This window comes from Homo sapiens, chromosome 9, assembly GCF_000001405.40.
Source record: "Homo sapiens chromosome 9, GRCh38.p14 Primary Assembly".
NCBI lineage: Eukaryota > Metazoa > Chordata > Mammalia > Primates > Hominidae > Homo > Homo sapiens.
The window spans coordinates 14,080,305-14,101,401 of NC_000009.12; the positions used below are offsets into that span (position 1 = coordinate 14,080,305).

The following is a 21,097-nucleotide window of genomic DNA, read 5'->3' on the forward strand; positions in this document are numbered from 1 at the left end:
GTAAAGTTTATTTATTTGCTACACAGCTAGTCAGGGTATTTTCAGAATTTGAAATCAGGCAGTTTAACTTAAGGCATGGGCCTTCAATTGTTCCTGTGTATTCTTCCTTTGTAACTGCCATCTTTCTTTGATCCCTAAATATCTTTTTTTTTTTTTTTTTTTTTTTTTTTTTTTTTTTTTTTTTTGAGACAAGGTCTTGCTCTGTCACCCAGGCGCTGGAGTGCAGCGGCAAGATCATGGCTCACTGCAGCCTCAACCTCCCAGGCTCAGGTGATCCTTTCACCTCAGCCTCCTGAGTAGCTGGAAAAACAGACATGTACCACCATGCCTGGCTAATTTTTGTATGTTTTGTAGAGATGGGAGTGTCACCATGTTGCCCAGGCTGGTCTTGAACTCCTGGGCTCAAGCAATCCATCCGCCTCAGCCTAAATCTTGATCTCTGCCAATAGAGCCAAACGTTTTTAAAAAGGCAAAAATCTCTCTATAGGTAAAAGTTTTATTTCAATGATAATATTCTCAAACATTTCTTAAGAAATGTCTTCATTTTCTAAGAAATCCAATTACTGTCTCATACTTCCAGGATTCTCCAATTTTTTTTTTCCAGGATATTATAGTCCATCAATTTCCATACGACTCCACACACAGTGGTGGAAACCAGGGTGGTTTGGGGACATGAAAGAAACCTCAGCCACAAATCAGAGTTGGTCGGATCAGGCAGTCAGATCTGTCTCAGCAAGTCTTTGGTTGGGATAGTCAAATTCCAGGCATTTTTATCTCTATTTTCAATGAAGCTTGCATTATTTTTGCTTCATTTATGCACATCACTCAGATGGATCACAAAACCATTTAAGCTCATTCCTTTTCAATTAGCTATTATTGAACTCCAGCTGACTCCATTCAGAAATGCTGCTTTCAGTGAGGCTGGATTTGGGACCCGGTCCTCGGTTTTAGCCCTTGTGTATGTCTCCCTGTGAAAAGGGAACATCACCCCTGCTTGTGTTGAAAAGTAGCACTGCTTCTTGGAAACACAAGATGCTGCTCCTTTTCAGGCATTTGCAGGAAGAAATTGCTCTCCTGCAGTATTCATGTAACCACTAAACCCACAGCCACAGGGTGTCCCCGGGGCTTACCTTTTCTGTTCAGTGTTTGATGCCCTGTGGTTTTTCTCTCACAGAGACCACAGTCCAGTCATCATGGCACACATCGTCTTCAACGTATTGCTCAAAGGCCTTTCTCAGAGAGTGAGGTCTGCGATTCTATAACTGCACTTTCTTTTTTTTTTTTTTTACTGTCATTGTTTAGAAAGCTTGGGATGACTGTATTTATTAGGAACTGCAAGGAAGGATTATATAGATATACACAGATATACGGTTAAATATTGAACTGAAATATTAACTATCCCAGATGCTAATAATTAAATCAGTGCTACAAAACCCCCAAAGTTAAGGGCCAAGATCAATTTCTGGGACACTACTGACCCAACATTAATGTAGGCAGAACAGCAAGGAGACGATGAGGAGAAAAATAAAACATGAGGCCAGAGTCTGTAGCATAGCTCATTTTATTGTTTAAACAGTTTTTGCATAGGAAATATATCCGCTTCCAGTAATTGACTGCAGTATGAGCAGCTGCTAGCAGTATAGGCTGGATATAACAGTAACAATCACATTAAGTCAAGCTTGATTTACACCAGTTTAAAACTTGTGGCAATTGAGTTCATTTGCAACCCACAAAAAGTACCCAAAGAACGTTATCCTCCAACCGGGCACAATAAAACCTTCACTAACATTCTGGCCCAGTCTGGGGTTGATCCCAGAGGCCTGAACTCTAGAAATTAAGTAACTGTCGTATAATACATCCTACTGCTAAAGGTTTGTTACATGGAGATTGTGCATGTGCCTCCTTTTGTAAAAAAATTTAATTAAAATACAAGGTTCTGTATTTATGGCCCATGAGGACAAAATGCCAAAAGTTTTAAAATGGATCAACCCTGGTGTGTAGCTAGCAAGCAATAACTGACTACTCGTCACCTACAGTTGTACTAAATGTATCTAAAGAAACACACAGTCCTACAAAAGTTGTTCTCAGAGAAATATCATTGAGGTGGGGGCAGCTCTTCCCAGGATGCTAAAAGTTCTATATGATATAAGCACAAATTAACAGCTTGATGAAGACATAATCTACTGCAGCTTTGAGAAACCTATGCCTGGGATGTAGTTACCCCTCACATTCTACAATGTTGTAGAGATTTTTTTTCCCAAGAAAATGTCATTTGAAACATATTTACAACTGAACTCAACAGAGACTGTGAAATTGAACAGGCACTGCTCATTTGTTTGAGTTTTTTGGTAAACATTTTGCTGGTTTTTTTTTTTTGTTTGTTTCTTTCTTGTTTTGCATCAACTTTTATCAGTCCATGCAACTTCAATGCCCTCGATGAAGGATGCATAAAAAGCCATACTTCTTAAAAAAAAAAAAAAGAAAAAAAAAGACTTCCTTCTGCATAAAGAGATATATTTGCCACATCAGTCCCTGTAGCACAGTTTTCAAAACCATTCTGTCAAAAATACAGTAATACAAGACTGGCTTTAGTGTCACTAGCTTACACTGCTTTTCATGTATTTAGGCCACCTGTTGTTCCTGGTACTGTATCATGCAATAAGTCATCAAGGGCTTAGTCTAGTGTACCGGTAAGCTAGTGGCACTGAAGCGCTTTTCACAATCTCAACATACATTTGAATTGCAACACACAGATATTTCTAGAGTATTAACTAGTGAACCCTTTTATTATTAAAAAAAAAAAAAAACTACTTACAACCATTGAAGAAAAAATTGCAACAAAAAATGTAAAAATTGACCGTCTCCAACTTGTCCCCTTTACTATTAACAATGTGACCAACAGATCTGTGGCACGGACACAGTACAAAGAGTTGTCATGGCAATGAGTTTGGCTGATGCAAAGGTCATTGTGCAGGGTCAAAGGGCAAAATCAGTGGTCCATGTTACCCCCCAACTGCAGGGCTCCACTCCACCCACACAATTTTAGGGAATTAGAAAAAACAGGGGAACTACCAGAAAGTGCAAAATATGAAGAAGGCAGCTTTCAGCTCCTTCAGCATGGAGTAGAACATTCATTTTTGAGCTTTTACTATTGAACTTGAATAGCCTGCACATTAAAAAAAAAAAAAAAAAAAAAGTTTTCTATAGAAACCCAATTTCTTAAAGTCCAGAAAGCATGCAGCTGGTTAATGTTAACAAAAGACCTTGACAGGAACATGTAAACTATATTGAATGTCATGCTTGGGGCCTATCTGCCAGCAATATTGTAGAGTTGTTTCATTAAAAATGAATACTGTACACTGAATATGGGATAACTTTCTGCAGCCTTCATCATTTCACACAGTACATAGAATTTGAATCTAGGTAAAGAACATGTCCTGCTGTCACACCGCTGAAGATGTCCCTGTGCAATCTCTTTCGTTGAGTCCTTATGAAGCTACAAGTCACAAATCCAAGATTCTGCTCCCTGAGGACACGTTATGTGAGACATAGCACTGTTTTAGTTTTCTGCCTATCCTGAATGCTCTGTGAAACTTAACCTTAAATACCATCACGTAACAATCACAAAAACTTTTGCTAAAGGCCGTATATACTAATAAAAAGACAGTGGTGCTTCGACATTCTGAAATGCTCTGGAAACCAACTTTTCCAATACTAAATACAACAAAATAACCTTCATAAAATATAACTTTTCTCCATTTACACTTTTTTAAAGGATTAGTATCCTATGCTTTTCAAGCACAGGAATCTGTGAAATAACTCCTAACATGGACAGATTTTCTTTTTAATACATAACTTAAGAGACTGGAGAGTTTTAACTCAAGTCCAGTCTCTAAACAAGGAATATTCTTGTTTACTTTAAAAATGGAAACAACATATAGTTCCATTATAATTGTTAAAAAGTTAGCTTTACAAACATGGGAATTTTAATTTAAAAAAAATTCTTAACAAAACTATACAGTGTACAAATTACTGTCTACAAGGTAGGCGGTTCATTAAGAAGACCTTTCGCTCTTCTCGCTACTTGCAGCTTCACAGATTCATTCACATATTTTTTAATGGAGCTGCCCACCCGAACATTACCCGATAACTATATTGCTATAATTAAGATTTTTGCCATGTCTTTATGTACAGTCTCCTTCACTGCCTTTTATTTTTTTCCTTAGACAAGCCTCAAATGCTCACGTCACTCCAGGGGTAACACGCTTCAGAGGCACTGTGAGTGGTGGGTGGCAGGGCAGCACACAAAGGCTGAACAGTGCCACGGAACTGATGGTTGGAGACACCACTCCCTACTCATGCCCTTGGGTGACCTTCGCCATCCTGAAGCTCTGCAGTTCTGGGTAAGGGAGGGGCGTGCAAGACCTGCAAAAGTGGGGCCCTTCGTCAGAATATACTTCCTGGTACACGAGGAGGAGGCCGAAAAGTTGATTTGAGATTTTATATATATAGTAGTACTTTTAATAGTTTTATCTCAAAAAGGAAAGAAGAAAAAATTGATTTGAAATAAAAAAAGCAACACTTGAACTAGGCCTTTGTATTCAAGAGGCAGGCAGGAATACCCACAGTGTGTAACTTGGTTAGCTAGAACTGCTCACTGGCAAAAAAGAGAGCGAGTCTGCCTTTAAAAAATACTGTGTGTCCTGTGAGGTTCATTTGTTCACCTAATAGGTCAAAGATACATGAAGAGCTTGGCTGAGATGATCTGTTTGCTACCAGGGCGAGTATCACAGAAATGATTGGACTTACTTTTGAACTTGCACTGCTAGGATCCCGCTGTGCTGTTCAGCATTTGGGCTATCAAACTGAATGGGCTAATCAAATACAATTCTCCAGCCCATAAGCATTGTTCTAAAGTATTCATTATTAAATGATATGCTGTGAGAACAATTGACAGTTTATTTTATTAGGCCATGGCCTAGGGGAAGGGGGCCAGGGGACTCCTTAAGACAGCCTACCATGTGTCACCAATTCTGAAAGATTTTCCTTCTAGTAATGAATACACTCAATGGGACTGGGCGGTGAGGGAAAGGCAAAATAAAACCAGCCTCCATTCAGCCTCTAGCCCTCAGGGGAAACGAAATCAAATATATAGTTAAGGTACCATTCCTTAAAAAAATCCCATCAGCATCTAATGGGTTTAATTCATCCACAGGAAGATTAATTGCTTAAAATTCTATATTTCCCTTCTGCTCTGGTTCTCAGTTTTAAAAGGGGAGATAAAATGAAAACAGGATTTACTTTTTTGTTCCTTAAAAATTGAACTTTGATTTTAATCTATCAGTCCAAATACATTCAACAATAGCAACCCTCTGTTCAATCTTCTGGATATTAAAAAAAAATCCAAGTGCACTGCCATCCATTTGAAGTAGTAAGTCACAGGTAAATCATATCCTATCATTAATGAAATGAAATGGGGACGAAAAGTGGCAGAAAAGGAATACGGGAGACTCCCTCCAACAGGTCTAATGTGTTTTCTAGGAGAAAGAATATTCATGTGTTAAACTCTCAAAAGTGTTAAACATCCAACATCCCCTATGTGGACATTTCAACAAATATTTTTGCCAAATATGAGACAGGCTCACTCTCCACTGTGGATCTGGAACTTTCAAGAAAAACTATCACCAAGCCAAGTCTGCCTTTTTAAGCCAAGTCTGCCTCCAGGAGAATTTGTTGTGTTTGCTTGTTCTTACTATTGTGTTGTTATGAAAACCAGTAATGAGTTCAGCTTGCAACCCAGGTGGGAAGTTAGAGAGGGGAACCTGTGTAAGTTGAAGTTTGTCACAGTAGGCAGAACAGTCGCTTTGCAGCCCAGGCCCATCTCAGGGTGCACTGCTTCACAGCTACACTGCAAAGTGTTAAAAATCCTCCCACCCACCCCAGAATATATATATATGTATATTAAAAAAAATCCCCTGTCCATCTCTCAGTACACAAAAGGACCTCATCACACTGCAAAAATAGCAGTACCCACTTTGGTCAATTAAAACAAACAAACAAACAAAAAAGCATACATTATTTTTTTTTTAAATCTGTGTACTTACCTATAATAACCAATACAGCTAAAAGCACTACCTACATAGGCAAAACTTGGTATTGCATAATTCGTATAAATTTGAAACCCCTCCCCCCCAAATATTAATTGGAAGATGAAAAACATGAAAGGTTAATAGAAAAAAACACCAAAATACTGAAAATATTGCTGGTCGATTACAATTTTTAAGCGGCAACTATACACAGCCATGATATGCTTTATAAATGTGAGATAAAGGTATAACTGTCTAAAAAATCCATGATGTCACACATTTTTCTTCGTCTGGAGTACAAAATATTTTGTCATAAAAATGGTAAAGATTTAAAATGATAATAAATGCAGCAAAACAAGTGTAGTGATGTCACTTTGTTGTATTTTTTTGTTTTTTTTTTTTTGTTTTTTGTTTTTTAGATTTCAAGGCAAGGCACGTAATGTGGACATTATATCTTCGTGCAAATTAGGATTACTGGAAAGAGTATTTTTAATTAAAATTTTAAGAGACATAGAGGCAAAATGTGTCTGCCCATGCACACTATGGATCTGTCAATACAAGAAATTTGTTGAACAAGGCTAATGTCTGAAAGCACCATGCAAGTTTTCAGCACCCTGATTACATTTGTTTTCTCAAGAGTGCGTTTTTATATCCTACACCCTGGCGTTCCCAGTTTGTAAACTGTAAGCTTTACCCTTGTGACATGGATTTGCCTGCCTCTTTGTCTCTATAATGCAGATTTTATAGAACCTTTTGTACACCCTATGGGTTCTTGATGCAACCAGTAATTTTAAATAAATAAATTCTACCTCCAAGGAGGCTGCAGCTAAACCAACATAAGTGCTGTGTTTTCATTAATTTTATTTTTCTCAAGCACATGATTTGTCTTGATTTAATGCCTTTTTAATGCCCTCAAAAACTGAGGGGAAAATAAATTCGTTCAAAATTATTTTAAATTCTTTTTAATCCCCTCAATTTAGAGTCCAAGGGCTGAAGGACTTATAATCATGATTCCCCTTTAGATATAAATTTATAAATTGCACTTGCCTCTGTTAAGTGTTTCTTTTGTGGGGAAAATATTATATTAATTTTTACTGTTGCATGCAGAGAGAACACTTCACCTACATAGAGGCATTTCTTCCATAGAGCCTTTGTGTTCAAACTGTTTTTTTCCTTTTTTCTTTTTTTCCTTTTTTTTTCATTTTTTCTTTTTTTAAGATTTCAAACTGGGTTACACACTGGAAAAGGCTGGGTTAAGGGCCGAAATTTAATAAATCTGTACTGATAACTAAAGGCTACAGAGATTTCATATATTTTTTTTAACTTTTAGAAATCAGAGTGCTTATAAAATGGCTGGCTCATGGCTCTGTCACCCAGCACCTCTGACGCCGCCTCCTAGCCTTCGTTGGTGAGATAACCAGGAATAGTGATTCCATGCGTAAACAACAAGAATACTAAACCAATAAAACTAGCTTATCATGCAAATATTAAGGCATCTAGAAAGTCAGTTAAAATATATTGTCATAGAGACAGAACATCTATTTCCCAGCGGACTTCATGTAACAAAGGCTACGTTGCAGGGGCTGCGATCTACCATCAGTGAAATATCATCGACCCTTTTTATGTCATTACAGTTTCAACCTTAAGGGAATTAGTGATTGTAAGTGCTGCAATTGCTGGTCTATTATCTTCTTTCTTCAGTTTCTTTCCTTTCTGCCTTTGTGTTGTTTTGTCCAGTCTTCCTCTTTTCCTTTTTTTTTATTTAAAAAAAAAATTTCTTAAACTATTGTTGTGTTTCTTTTTCCCTCAGTTGCTTGTTTCTGCTTGAAGGAAAGGTTCTCCAATTATGTTCAAACCGTAATTTTGGACATTGGCCGGTAAGATGGGTGTCCTATTTGACACTTGGAAAGGAACCAAGCTAGCCCAGGTACCAGGACTGTTGAGAGGAGAGAGGCAGCAGGGAGGGAAGAAAAAAGAAAAAAATACAATGTTAAAATCTACAACAATATGAGAAATATAAATTCCAGATGCATCAAATTATTGCTATCCCTATTTTCAAAATTACAGTCTAATATGAGATAAATGTGCCAAATTATACATGTTACACCTATCTAAACTCTATAGTCTATTTTTTAAATGAAAATTAAGACTAAAGTGAGGCAGAAAAATCCAGAGTAAGATATATAAACAATTATTGAATTCTAACCGATTGAGGATATTCTAAAATATTTTACATTAATCAATATAAATGCAATATCATTCTTTTTTGTACAGGAAAAAAAAGAAAAAGAAAAGCAGCAATCTGTTGGTACCAATATACTTTGCCAGTTACATTCTAATCTTATTTTACCTTTAATTCACAAGCAATTCAGTGGTCAGATGGGTTTCAATTTCTTACCTGCCTATTGGGTTGAATACAATTGAAAAGTACGGTGAAAGATATTTCTTTTCTCCTTACAACAGGAAAAAAAACTACATGTTTAAGGTAGGCCCATGCATAACATACAATTTGAAATGCCCAATTATCAAACATACCTTAATCAGAGTTTTTTAGTAAAGACCGAACAAATAAGAATCATAGAACCAAAATGGAACACAGCTTTTTTTGTTCTCTACAGAATACCCATCGTGAGGAAAAACATTTACAGGAGGCCACAAAGGTCTCTGCTTGCACTGATTAGTTCTATAGCTCTCCAGCAGTTTTCTTATTCTAACCCTCTTTAACTTACTTTTAGAGAGAGCCACAGCTTTTCCTTCCAATTCATGGTTCCCTACATTGGCTTGCAACAGAAGCCTGAGCATTTCCTGCTCCTCCCCATCAGTAATGATACCACATTTGAGCTGCTCTGCACTTGAGGAGTTTGGAGTGATAGATGGCGGGTTGGGGGTTGGGGGTGTTGGAGGCAGTAAATGATAAGATTCCAGCCTTACTCTCATCAGTTCAACTTTCGCCTATGCTGAATTACAGGCTGTTAAAAAAAAAAAAAAAAGACTGGAAAACAATTCTCTAATTGCTACTAGCATAATCTCCCTTTAAAAAGTATCATATGGAGGATAAAAAAAATCAGATCTACATATCATGAAACAACTCTACAGCACACATTTTGGGTACACTTAATCTAATGTATTGCCTGTTCCAACACTCAAATCCGAATGAATGTCAGTTAAGTAACAGCTGCATAAATAATCATGAACCAAGAAAACATCAAACTGACAATTCAGTACTCATATTAGTCATGGCCTAGCATGGAAACATACTTTCGAGGTTTTAAATTTCACTGAACATCCTTTGCTTTACTTTTGAAACCATGAAGTGAGATAGCACTATTGTTGTAGCTATCAATCTAGATATGCTCATTTGTTCATATTTGAATTCCAAAAGTACAAAAACCTTTACAGAATATCAACCTAAAGGAACAATTCTGAATTTTTTTTAAAACTTGATACATACTGTTTTTACTCTGGTGATACCTCGATACAAAATGTTGCTTGTTGCTACACATACATATTTCTGAGTTAACATTTCAAAACAATATCACAACGACCATTTGTGCTCAAGGGATTTTATAATTAGACTACAAACTCAATGACAGCAAAGTCCGTCTCTAGTAAAGTACCTAGCACATGGAAGATGCTCAATACCTTTTTAGACAAACAAATCAATTAATTGTTTCAAATCACACCCAGCTATATATTTTCAAAAGCTGTCACCCAAGATTACATATACTCATGAATATGTTGTGATTTGATCCCCTATAAAAAGAAAATAGGTATCTCTGAATTTAAAATTAGATCTACTTAGCATTAACAAAAATTGATTAAGCAGGAATAATCACATTCAAACTAAAAAGACACGTCCTCAAAATCTGATGAAAAATCGTAACTCTTAAGAATACTTGTTATTGAAACTTTTACTAAGCAGCTTAACTGTTTTCACATATTTATCTTCCCACACACATCTTCAACAATTATTTTTGTGCTTTGCACCATTGATTGGGAACAATGTTACATAATGAATCATGAAACTTATTTTACCCTCAACTGTGTTTCCACTGCACTTTGTACATGGTCCTGTTACAGCATTTATTACTTCATAAATATCTCTATCTGGGATTATCTTACTAACTGAAAGGTGAACTTCACAGAGAAAACGACCTAGTCACATCTATCTTTATAGAGTCTGAGCATAGCTGGTGCTATTTCTTAACAAATAAAATAAATTACAAAAATGGTTATACATTATTTTTAACTTGAAGTAAGAAGCATGTACCAAAAGCAAAAGGACTAGGTAAAGCAGATAATCCTTGACAGTAAAATACAATGTCAACAAGCAGCAAATTGCTTTGCAAAATTAACAAGAGTGCCAAATTAAGTGAGCTCAAGAAAGTCATTTGGAGATTGCATGCTTTAGGGATATAAAGTATATTTTAATGATTGAAAATAGATGTGGCTCCTTACATGGACAAGTCTACCAACTAATGGCAGAAAACTCAGGGTTTATTTTGCAATAGCTCTCTTACTCAGTTCTTTAGAAGAGACATATGTCATTATTCTTTGGAAAATGTTCAATAAAAATAAATTGATGCTAGTAACTAACAGGACTCTTGCTGCAGAATGCCTACCAAATTTAATTTAAATGTTTATTTAAATCTTTCAAACCGCCCATCCTACATTATGACCATATCAAAATTGCAGAGTGCAATATATTTGTCAATACTGTTTATGAACCTTTGGGGGAAAATAAATCTCAAACATTAACACTATGCAGACCCCATATATGAGTTTTACAAGTCTCTTATTGCCAATTTAAGTTCAGAACTATAAGGCACAGACATTTTTTAGAGCTATTTTTGGTAGTCCTGTTAAAAAAAAAAACTTGATAAAACTAATTCAATGACTGAGATAACAATGTAAATAAATATATTTAATTAAAGTAATACAGATTATTTAATTTCAAAAATGCAATGTCTAAAATTGCATACTTACTCAGGTAAAAATGTAATAGTGCTTTTTATACATCTAACTCTATATAAAAATCAATAATCACATGTATGGATAAAATAAACACACAAAAACAAATTAGTTACATGTAAAATGCTTAATAGTTTTAATTCATAGTGAGAATTACTATATGGATAATCTTATGTTCATTCCAACTATCTGCATTCCAATAAAAGAAATGAGAATATAACTGAAAGGATTTCAAAATATTCAAGCTCAAATTCAGCTACTTCAGCAATATATCTTTATAAGTGTGCATTTCCTTTGTTTTAATCAAATTTTTCATTACCAAATCACATTTGTTTAGGCAAAGAGAAGATGAGCATAGCTGAAAGTTGAAAGCACATCTTTAGAAAATATAAAGTAGATATAACCATTTAAAAAAGAAAAGATATAATTACTTTGCAAAAAAATCAAGCAGAAAAAAACACAAAAGAATTTGATAGTACCTTAACACAAAGTACAGCTCATCCTAATGACTATTACTATGCATATAATGAGATAGTTCATTATAAAATGAATACATAAGAGCTAAATCAAAATTCCAAAAATAAAATGTTTGATATCATGGATACTATTTTCTTGCTATTTTGACCAAATGTATGACATGGCTCCCCCCAAAAGGGAAGAAGCAAATGAATTATTTAGAGCTTAAGATGCATTACTGGTGATGGTCCTGCTTCATTTTGTTATTGGTAAGACTACCTCTGAAGTACTGTATTTCTTCTAGGTAGCACTGTGGAAGAAAACCTAACTTTATGGCATTTACTTATTGAAAAACTCACCAAATTATGTCATTGCAGAACAGCTAAGGGTAGACAGGGAAGATATAGCAGTTGATGTGGAAAGGAATGTAGACCGCTTAAGCATGCTTCAGGTTGTAGCAACAGCACAAAGGCAAAACTTCCAGACGATAGCCATGCTGAGGACTTAACTATAAGCATGGTACCATCTTTGGTGTTTTACATATGCTACACCACTTAATTTTCTCAGTGAGCTCATGAGATGGCCATCAGTATCTCTGTTTCACATATGAGGAAACTGAGGCAAGTTAAGTTCCTTGCCCAAAGTCTCCCACTTAGCCCTCAGTTATGACTCAGATCTGTCTGATTTCCCTGGCCATTTCACTATATTATATTGCCTACACAGGAAGTCAGATGACTTAACATAAGAAAGAACTTTTGAACAGAGTGGTCTGAAGGCAAAATTAATTGGCTTCAGGAGACAGTGAACTTTTCATGCACCATACAAGCTGGATTATAACCTAGCTAATGTTGCGAAAGAGACTAGTGCACAGAATATGTAGCTGGTCTAAGTGGTCAAATGATCTGAAATTCTATGTATTCATCTCCTCTGAAACAAATCTAGTTGAAGTTCTACTAGGGTGAGTTCTACAGCGTGAGGATTAAGGCGGAAGAAGATACCCACTTCTTCCTTTTAAAAAGATGCACTATTTCTATATGTCTTATCCTGGATAAACTGGGCAAAATAGTTCATCTTCGCATCTACCTACAAAGAGTAAAGAGCTATACCTTTCAGTGAAAGAAAGGCAGAAATTGCTCTCGGCAGCCATACCAACATTTTCTGGTTATGTTTTTTTAAAATTATGCATTATGGGAGTGTGTCTTCTAGGCCAAAAAGAATTGGGCCCTTACCTTTTAGCTCACTAACACCTAGGAACCACAGGGTGCCACATTAAACATGTATGAAGCCATTACATTGAGCCAGAAACCAAACAAAGTCAAAGACTTTACATCACCTATTATTTATTTGGAGGTGATGAAACAATAAGAGCTATTTTAAGAATGGCAAAAATCATTTATTACTAGCCTGTGTGTATTTGATAATGGATGAGATAACACACTAGTTAAACAGTTTATGAAATGTCTAAGTATCCAGTATACGAATATTTTTCAGGGGAACAATAGTATTGTCCATTTAGAATTTATATACTGGTTTAATCATGAGAAAATACCATATTTACTTAAAAGATAGTAAATACTCTTTCAAGAAGCTTAAAAAATATTACAGGAAAAAAGCACAAAGAGTTGTACATATTAATACATACCTCAACTGTAACAGTAGCCACATTATTTACAGATGGCAATAAAAATGAGCAATGGCCCAGAAAGCATGGGGAATAAATAAAATAAGTATTTTAATTTAAAAGAAGCATTTGCCTTTAGTTCCTTTGCAACATTTCCTGATCTCCCCAAGATGGAAAGGTTTTTACTTCCTTGGCTAAACACTCTAATTTTATTGGCAAAATATTAACACACAAGTATTAGCATTTCTTGTAAAATGCACAATAAACAGTTCTCCTTATTAATTGCTGAAAACCTGTTGGGAAAACTGTGCTGCCCTGGGTTGTACATGGGTGCATTCGGACTGGTTGCTTACTTCAATATAACACAAAGGCTGCAGATTACGTCTTGTGAAAAAAATGCTCGCTCAGACCAGTAGAAGGAACAAACACTTAAGTTGAATCTATTTATGTATTAGAACAAAGAAAATAGTACTTGATAAATATACCAGTTGCTAGCACTTATATAATGTGTATTATTTGCCAGGTACTGTTCTACATGCTTGACCTACCTTAAAACTTTTAATCCTCATAACAAATCTATGAGAAAGACCATTATTATCCTGATTTTACAGATGAGGAAACTGAAGCGAGGAAGTTAAGTGTCTTGCCCAACTCGTATTGCTATTAAATTGTAGAAGGCAGGATTTGAATTCGAGCAATGTCATTCTAGGATCTGTATTTCTACCCACTAAACTTTTCTCATCTCCCCTTCCTGTGAAGCATAGTTTACTTTTCTCACTGGACTAGAAGTTATATTATCACTGAATTATGCAAGAGACTTTGTGAATTGAGGTTCATATCACAATGAAATTCCTGTGGAAGTATAATTCTTGAGCCCAAAATTCAGCACAAATAACTGTGCTTTATTCCTCCAATTCCAGTTGCTTTTCAGCTGAATGCAGTATTTGCTTTTGTCTTACATATGTGCAGATGTGGCTGTATGTCAATAATTTGTTTGTTGAGTTCCACTTCAGATGAGGCTAGCCTGGAAGTGAAATACACAAAGTGTTTTATACAGGTCTTGGGTTTCTTCGATTTATTTTCACCGTTTTTAGGGATCATTATTGCCGTCGGAATGATCCTCTTTGCATGCAAGATGATTCCTAATGATTATTACTATTTGTAATAATCTGTATCAGAAAGCTCCCTGGCTAGCTCTTACCTGAACTGCAAAGTACTCTTGTGGGCTCTCTGGGAAACACCAAATATCATAAACTGCAGGTGGCTCATGGAATTATTCTAACTGCAAGCAATAGGACTTCACAGTAATGAAAGAGAAACATATTTGTTTCTTAACTAAGTAGGTAAATAGCCTTCTTTATTGCTACTCCTTGGGGACCAACGGTTTTGAAAATAGCATATCAAAATGGTAGCCCATCAAACCTCATTAATTTATATTCAATTGATTCAGAAGTTTTTTGTTCTTAGGGCACAGTGGATTGAATGTTAACTTTACCATGCGTGAGTGCTAGCACTTTCTAAGTAAAATAATAGCATCTACCATTGAAATATTTTATCTAATAAAGAGCACAGGGCAAGAAAAAGCCACTCCATATGGGAGCACTGCCACTAAATATTAAATGTGTTCCTTATAATTACTGCACTCGTTTAGTAAAAAACTCTTACATAATACTTGAAGCCTTCGATATAGCAACCTACACTTAAATAAAAACTTCCTTAAAATGTTCGGTTTAAACATAAATAAGAAAAAAGCTCTTCCTCAATTGGCCAAATTAAGGACTTATAAAAAAATTGTTTGATCTTTTTCAAATTTTAGAACTGAAAATGAAAGATGAAAAATTATTATGAAGATGACTAATTATAAATAAATTACAGTACACACATGCATACATATATAAGAACTCAGGTAGCTGTGGGAGGTTTTAGCCAATTAAAAATTATACAATTATCAGGCTCAGAGCAATTATTTTATCTCCTCCCACAGACCACAGCACAGTGGAGAAGCCCACATGTTGATTTCCAGCCTCTTTCTGTCTGTATTCCTCTCTACCCTGGGCTTCTTTTCAATGCTATTGTTAAAAGTGGTACTGCTCCTCTTATTTGCATATGTGATGCTTTAACAGCAGATAAAATTCTCTACAAAAATGGTGCTTCAAAATAGTGCCTTTCACTAGAGAAAATCACCCAAGGCATACTAAATCAAATAGAAATATAAGTTTTATACAAAGCAAAAAGAGATTCTTTTATAAATGATTTTCAGTTAAAAGCAAAAATCAGCATTATTTGCACAATTTTACCTCTTAAAGGTGAAACTTACTTGTATCAGAATGCTGAAGCATAAAATTACAAATGATTAAAGAACTGAACACATTTTAATATCATGCTTGCTACTCTGTTCACAAGGGCAAAAGATCTTACATGGGCAAAAGATCTTCCTGTGTGTGAAACAAAGTGAGCAAGAGAGAATAATTGTAACTTTCTGCAATTTCAGAATATTCAAAATTCGTGTTCTTCAATTACTTGACCTTAAGATTTTGCCATTTCTTTTATCATTTATTATGTTTATTATGATATTTATTCATTCATAGTCTTTGTTATTTAAGTAAATATGACTAAAAAAATCATCATATCCCTACTAACAGCACTAGCAAAAATGAGAACCAAAAAGGTAAGCTAATAAATGGTGCACTGGCTGTCGAGGGAACTGATTTCTTACGGACGAACTACATCTGTAAATATGGCACTTTACATAAAACATATTCAAATAAAGTAGGGGTTTAATATACTTCCTTTCACTACAAAGGGTTAATCAGCAAGGTTTACATTTGGGAATTTTCAGAATCACGCTCCTCCCTCTCCAGTAGCGCTGCCAAAAATCATCGACAGGAAACGTAAGATTAAGTTTGTCCTACCTAAGCGAACAAAGAGTGCTCTGAACAGGCCACCGGTTTACTGCAGAGCGGGAACTTTTCTAATCCTGCTGGAATCTGCAGTCCTGCTCAGAAAATATCACGGAAAAAAGTTGTTTTCTTTCCTCTAACATCTTGTCTCAGGATCATCTCATTTTGGTCACACTGCAGATCCTGCTGCTTCTCCCATAAAGGTTAACTTAAAGCTCCAAACATAATCATGTGGAAAATGGACATTATTGATTCCTATGGTCCATTGTTCCCCCAACCTAAGTCCCTGAAGTTCAAGTTCAATCTGGAATTACATCATGTCTGGTTTCTCCTGGTTACCAGACGGCTTGAGACGTGACCACAGCTACAGAAAAAACAAACAGCCTTCTTCACGCTTCGGCTCCCCTATCGATTCAAACGTAAACTTTTTTTCTTTCTCTCAAGTACGCTTCAAGTATGGAGCATGGTTAATTTAGAGATTAAGTTCCAAATTAGATTATCTAATGGCATCTTAATGGATTGCTGACCCATTTCCTGTGGGATGGCAGCATGCAAGTCTGGCTGGAATACAATTAATTTCTTAGGAAGTGTTCTGAAGAGTTTGCCTAGATAAAAAGGAAATGTCGTGTTGTACAAATCTTTCTTTATAAATGGAGAAAGTTAGGCAAAACTACGACAAATCCCAACATATTATTCAAAAGCCAGACCACAGATGTTGTGCGTCCGTGAAAACCATATCAAGATCATTTTTAAGAATGGTAATGTTTTTATTTTTGATTTCATAACAGGTGCAAATAATTTTGATGAGAATAGAGTAATTCCTTTAAAAAGAATATTCATATACAAAGACAAAAGTAGTTAGCAGCCCCTTTACCAAACAATGATCATGTGAAATTTTGGTTTTTGCAATTCTCCACCTTGAACCAAAGATTCTTCCATTCATCTACCATATCAGCATTTCTATCATAGTCCCAGAGTGGTGCTAGGGGCCCAGAATGGTGTATAAAAAGTTGAGGATTTGAACACACTTTAGAGCTGACAGCTGAAAAGGAAATTCAGCACTCGGAGAATAAAGCTCCCCCCAGGAACTCCAGGAACAACCCAGCTGTTGTACTGTAGTTATGTGTCAAGATAACAAACTGAGAGCAGGAAATGCTAACCTAGTGAATTCGCGGGGATGTTCTAAGTGTAATGTTGAAATAAAAGTTAACTCTTTATATTACCTAAGGACATACTGCCCTTATCATACGTATGCCACATATATGTGGAGATATACACACACACTACATACACACACACATATAGATGCATACACACACAAACACATATATGTAATACAAACATATGGTTTGCAACCCATTATTGAAAGTTATTTTTTGTTTAAATATTCATTCTTTTGAGAGCATACATTTTACAAAGAAAATGTTATGAACAAAGCAAGGAAAATGGCTGAGGTGAGTGTTATGCAAATTAAGTTACATGGATAAAATGAGAGCTATTACCCCCCCACACTTTTTTTTTCTTTCTTTCTTTTTTCTTTTTTTTTTTTTTTTTTGCCCTCCCTCTCCTGACCAACCAGATCCAAATAACCTTTACTGGCTGCTAAATTTCTCTTGAGAAATCAAGCAACTCTCTAGAATTGCAGTAATAAACGACAATTTCTTAGAAAAACATGTGTAAAGTAACTACAGAATGAAGTATTCAACCCACAGAAAGGAACTGCTAACACATGTAACACGGAAAATAGCTGATAAAAGTCTCTTTGGTGCCATTCAATTATGGCATCCGCAGAAACACAAAAATCCTCCCAATTATTTTAGTAAAATCTTCATTTATTCATTATTTCAGAGGCTGAGCAAATGGTTTGTGTAAACATATCCTTTGGTAACACGCGCATGTTTATTTTAGCCATCTGAAGACTTCTTCTATGTTTACATAAGCCATCAGACACATACAACCACTCACTTGTGGCTTTGCGTTTTCTTGAAAGGGGTGAAGGGAGAGAAGAGAGAATGAAACAATAAATTCAGTTTCTCTTTTGCATAAAGCACTCCCTCTAATGTTTTAAAATAGCTTATGTTTGTATTATTCTTGGATTGTCCTTCAGCTTTCTTTTTCATTCAATTATATTGATCTTTCATATCTGACAGTACAGGCTATATTCTGACTATCACTTTAAGAAAGCCAGCCAGTCAGGGAGTAACTGCTGTATATGTTTATGTCCACATAACTCACATATGCAACAAGGTAATTTGTCCACATGAGACAAAGCACAAACACAACAGTACCTACCTTAAGCAGTTCATCACCTATCATCCTCCTAAGATCTTGAGCCCATTCTGACTATACTAGAAGTGAGCCCTTCACCCAACCAATATTTTACTCTGGGTTAACTGCAGTTCCTGACCTTTCACTTAGGCAGAAAAATTGACTCTCTCAAGGTGCAAGCAACTCCTTTGCACATGTGTGTGCACACACACACAGTTCACAAAACAGTTCACAAAATTTTAAGGTCAAAACAACAAAACATCTTCAGGGTTGTAACCTAATAAGGCTGTGAAAACTTTCCCAAAGAGTCAGCTTTGGTTCCTAAGGGAATGCTTAAGCCTTGGGGTTGCGGGTGGATGGAGGAAATCTTCCAGCTTTGATTATACTTGCACAGCTCCCTTGGCACTGCCATTTTCAGTTCCGACAAGAGCTGCATTTGACATGGAAACACCTCAACAGGGCAATTAGTATAAAGCAGAAAAGAGGGTGACCATGGAAAAGTGATTGTACAAAGAAAGTAATGACAACAAACAACAATCAATCAAAATAAAGCAAAACCAAAACACCCGTTTTGCTTTGTCCTTTTCTACAACAGTCTCCAGGGATTGCCTTTTGTTAAAAGGCATCTACCACAACAAAAATAACCTGTGATATTTTATTTATTCCATCGTGACAAAGGCAAATTATTTAATTCTTTGGATGAACAGACCTATATTTCTTAAATATTTTCAACTTATTCAGATGATTCTAAAGCCATAGCCATGCCCTGAAGATTTTAGATGTCTATTATCTGCCTTAAAAGTGCTAGTGTTACAGACATTTATGACTTTTTTCAAAATTCTTTCAATGTTTTAAAAATAACCACAAGTCATAAACTAAAAAAGATGGATAAAGCTATCATGCCACCGACAAGGGCTATTTGTATTATCAAATATGAACTCTGTTGTGTCCATTTTTGAAAACTACAACAAAGCAAAGCAACCTATGTCATTTGAATTTATTTATTCTGAACTGCATCACACCTAGATTTTAAGAACTGTCAGCATTGGATTCACCACAGCATTTAGCACAGCTCACCATAAAGATTCAATAATATCTGTTCAATGTAGAAATGTGATGGCTGCCATTATCAATTATGTGCTTTCTGAATCAGGATAGAAAGAGAAGAAACAAACCAAGATACTGGCTGGGCATGGTGGCTCATGCCTGTAATCTCAGTACTTTGGGAGGCCAAGGCGAGCAGATCACTTAAGTCAGGAGTTCCAGACCAGCCTGGCCAACATGGTGAAATCCAGTGTGTGCTAAAAATACAAAAGTTAGCCGGGCGTGGCAGTGCACGCCTGTAATCCCAGCTACTCTGGTAGCTGAGGCGTTAAGAATCACTTGAACCTGGGAAGCGGAGGTTGCAGTGAGACAAGATCGTGCCACTGCACTCCAGCCTGGGTGAGGAAGTGAGACTATCTAAAAAATAAAAAACAAAAAAACAAAAAAAACCAAGATACCTTTTAAAGAGCTTTTAGGATCATTAAGACCATTCTACATGCCATTACCTACTAATCAAAAGAAAAGTTACAATTTTTGAGAGGGAAGAAACATTTTACCTAAATAAATTCTGTATTTTTTTCTGACTTACTATGACCTGAAACTGATTACCACATCAATTTTTCACCAGGAAGGGGATTTGTGACAGCAACAATACTGCCCTAAGAACTGAGTTTAATCATCAGATTCATTTCCTCCAATACATGTGTTCTGAGATTTATTGCCCACTCATCTTCTCTTTCCATGGGCTATCAAGTTTTTATTTAAAAAATTACTGTGGCCGGGCGCGGTGGCTCACGCCTGTAATCCCAGCACTTTGGGAGGCCGAGGCGGGCAGATCACGAGGTTAGGAGATCGAGACCATCCTGGCTAACACAGTGAAGCCCCGTCTCTACTAAAAAATACAAAAAAATTAGCCGGGCGTGGTGGCGGGCGCCTGTAGTCCCAGCTACGGAGGGGGCTGAGGCAGGCAGGAGAATGGCGTGAACCCGGGAGGCGGAGCTTGCAGTGAGCCGAGATTGCGCCACTGCACTCCAGCCTGGTTGACAGAGCGAGACTCCGTCTCAAAACAAAAACATTACTAATAACTAGGTAAAGTTACATTTTAAATCTCTAACAACTTACAAATATGCTTTAGAGGTCTATCCTATTTTTAGATTTAGTAAGCCAATCAATATTCCACAGAATTGGAAGTTCGCATAGCTATAGGTGCATTTACAAACATGAGTACACGTCATCTGGTTTGCAATTGTTATAAATATGGTAAGCTTGTACGCAGACATGAGTCATTTTGTTAACTGATAGAGCATGAAATATAAGAGAGTTATTCAATAAAATATGGAAATATTAGGTTATTAAATTCAATTACCTTTTATTAAATAACATATGGAAATATTAGGTCATTAAATTCAATTAAATAAACTTTAAAATGTATATTAATTCAGAATATTTTAATGAGATACTTTCACTTAATTAAGACTATTAATCATTAAGGCTATTTGGATAAGATGGTTACGTTGAGTTTATCTTCTTTTTATAAGCATATATTGTATTATTTTCAAAAGGGAGGATGAATACAATCTTGTTAAAAAAATCACAATATGTAAAAATGTATACCTTTTAAAAGTGGAGGTTATATCAATCTTCAAGAAGAAAAGTCACATGGTAGTGAATTAATAAAAAGTCATTGTTTTTAAAAACATAATCTGAATTATTTCCTTAATTTTTATCTGAATTAAAGTGGACATTTAATT

At 35.8% G+C, this 21,097-nt stretch overlaps 1 protein-coding gene across 32 annotated transcripts in view; it reads right to left on the bottom strand.

Annotated features, from left to right (window-relative positions):
* Window positions 1–1,538: 1,538 nt before the first annotated feature.
* Window positions 1,539–21,097, bottom strand: part of NFIB (nuclear factor I B) — a 450,235-nt gene continuing 430,676 nt past the window's right edge. For 31 of the 32 annotated variants that reach the window (NR_161383.1, NR_161382.1, NR_161384.1 and 28 more), the window contains one exon: window positions 1,544–8,022. Coding sequence is in view for 28 of the 32 variants with exons in the window: in NM_001369462.1 (NP_001356391.1) it covers window positions 7,893–8,022 (130 nt within the window). In the remaining 4 variants the exon portion in view is untranslated. Of the gene's footprint in view, window positions 8,023–21,097 lie in introns of all 32 variants that reach the window. The other variant, NM_005596.3, reaches the window with a different exon arrangement.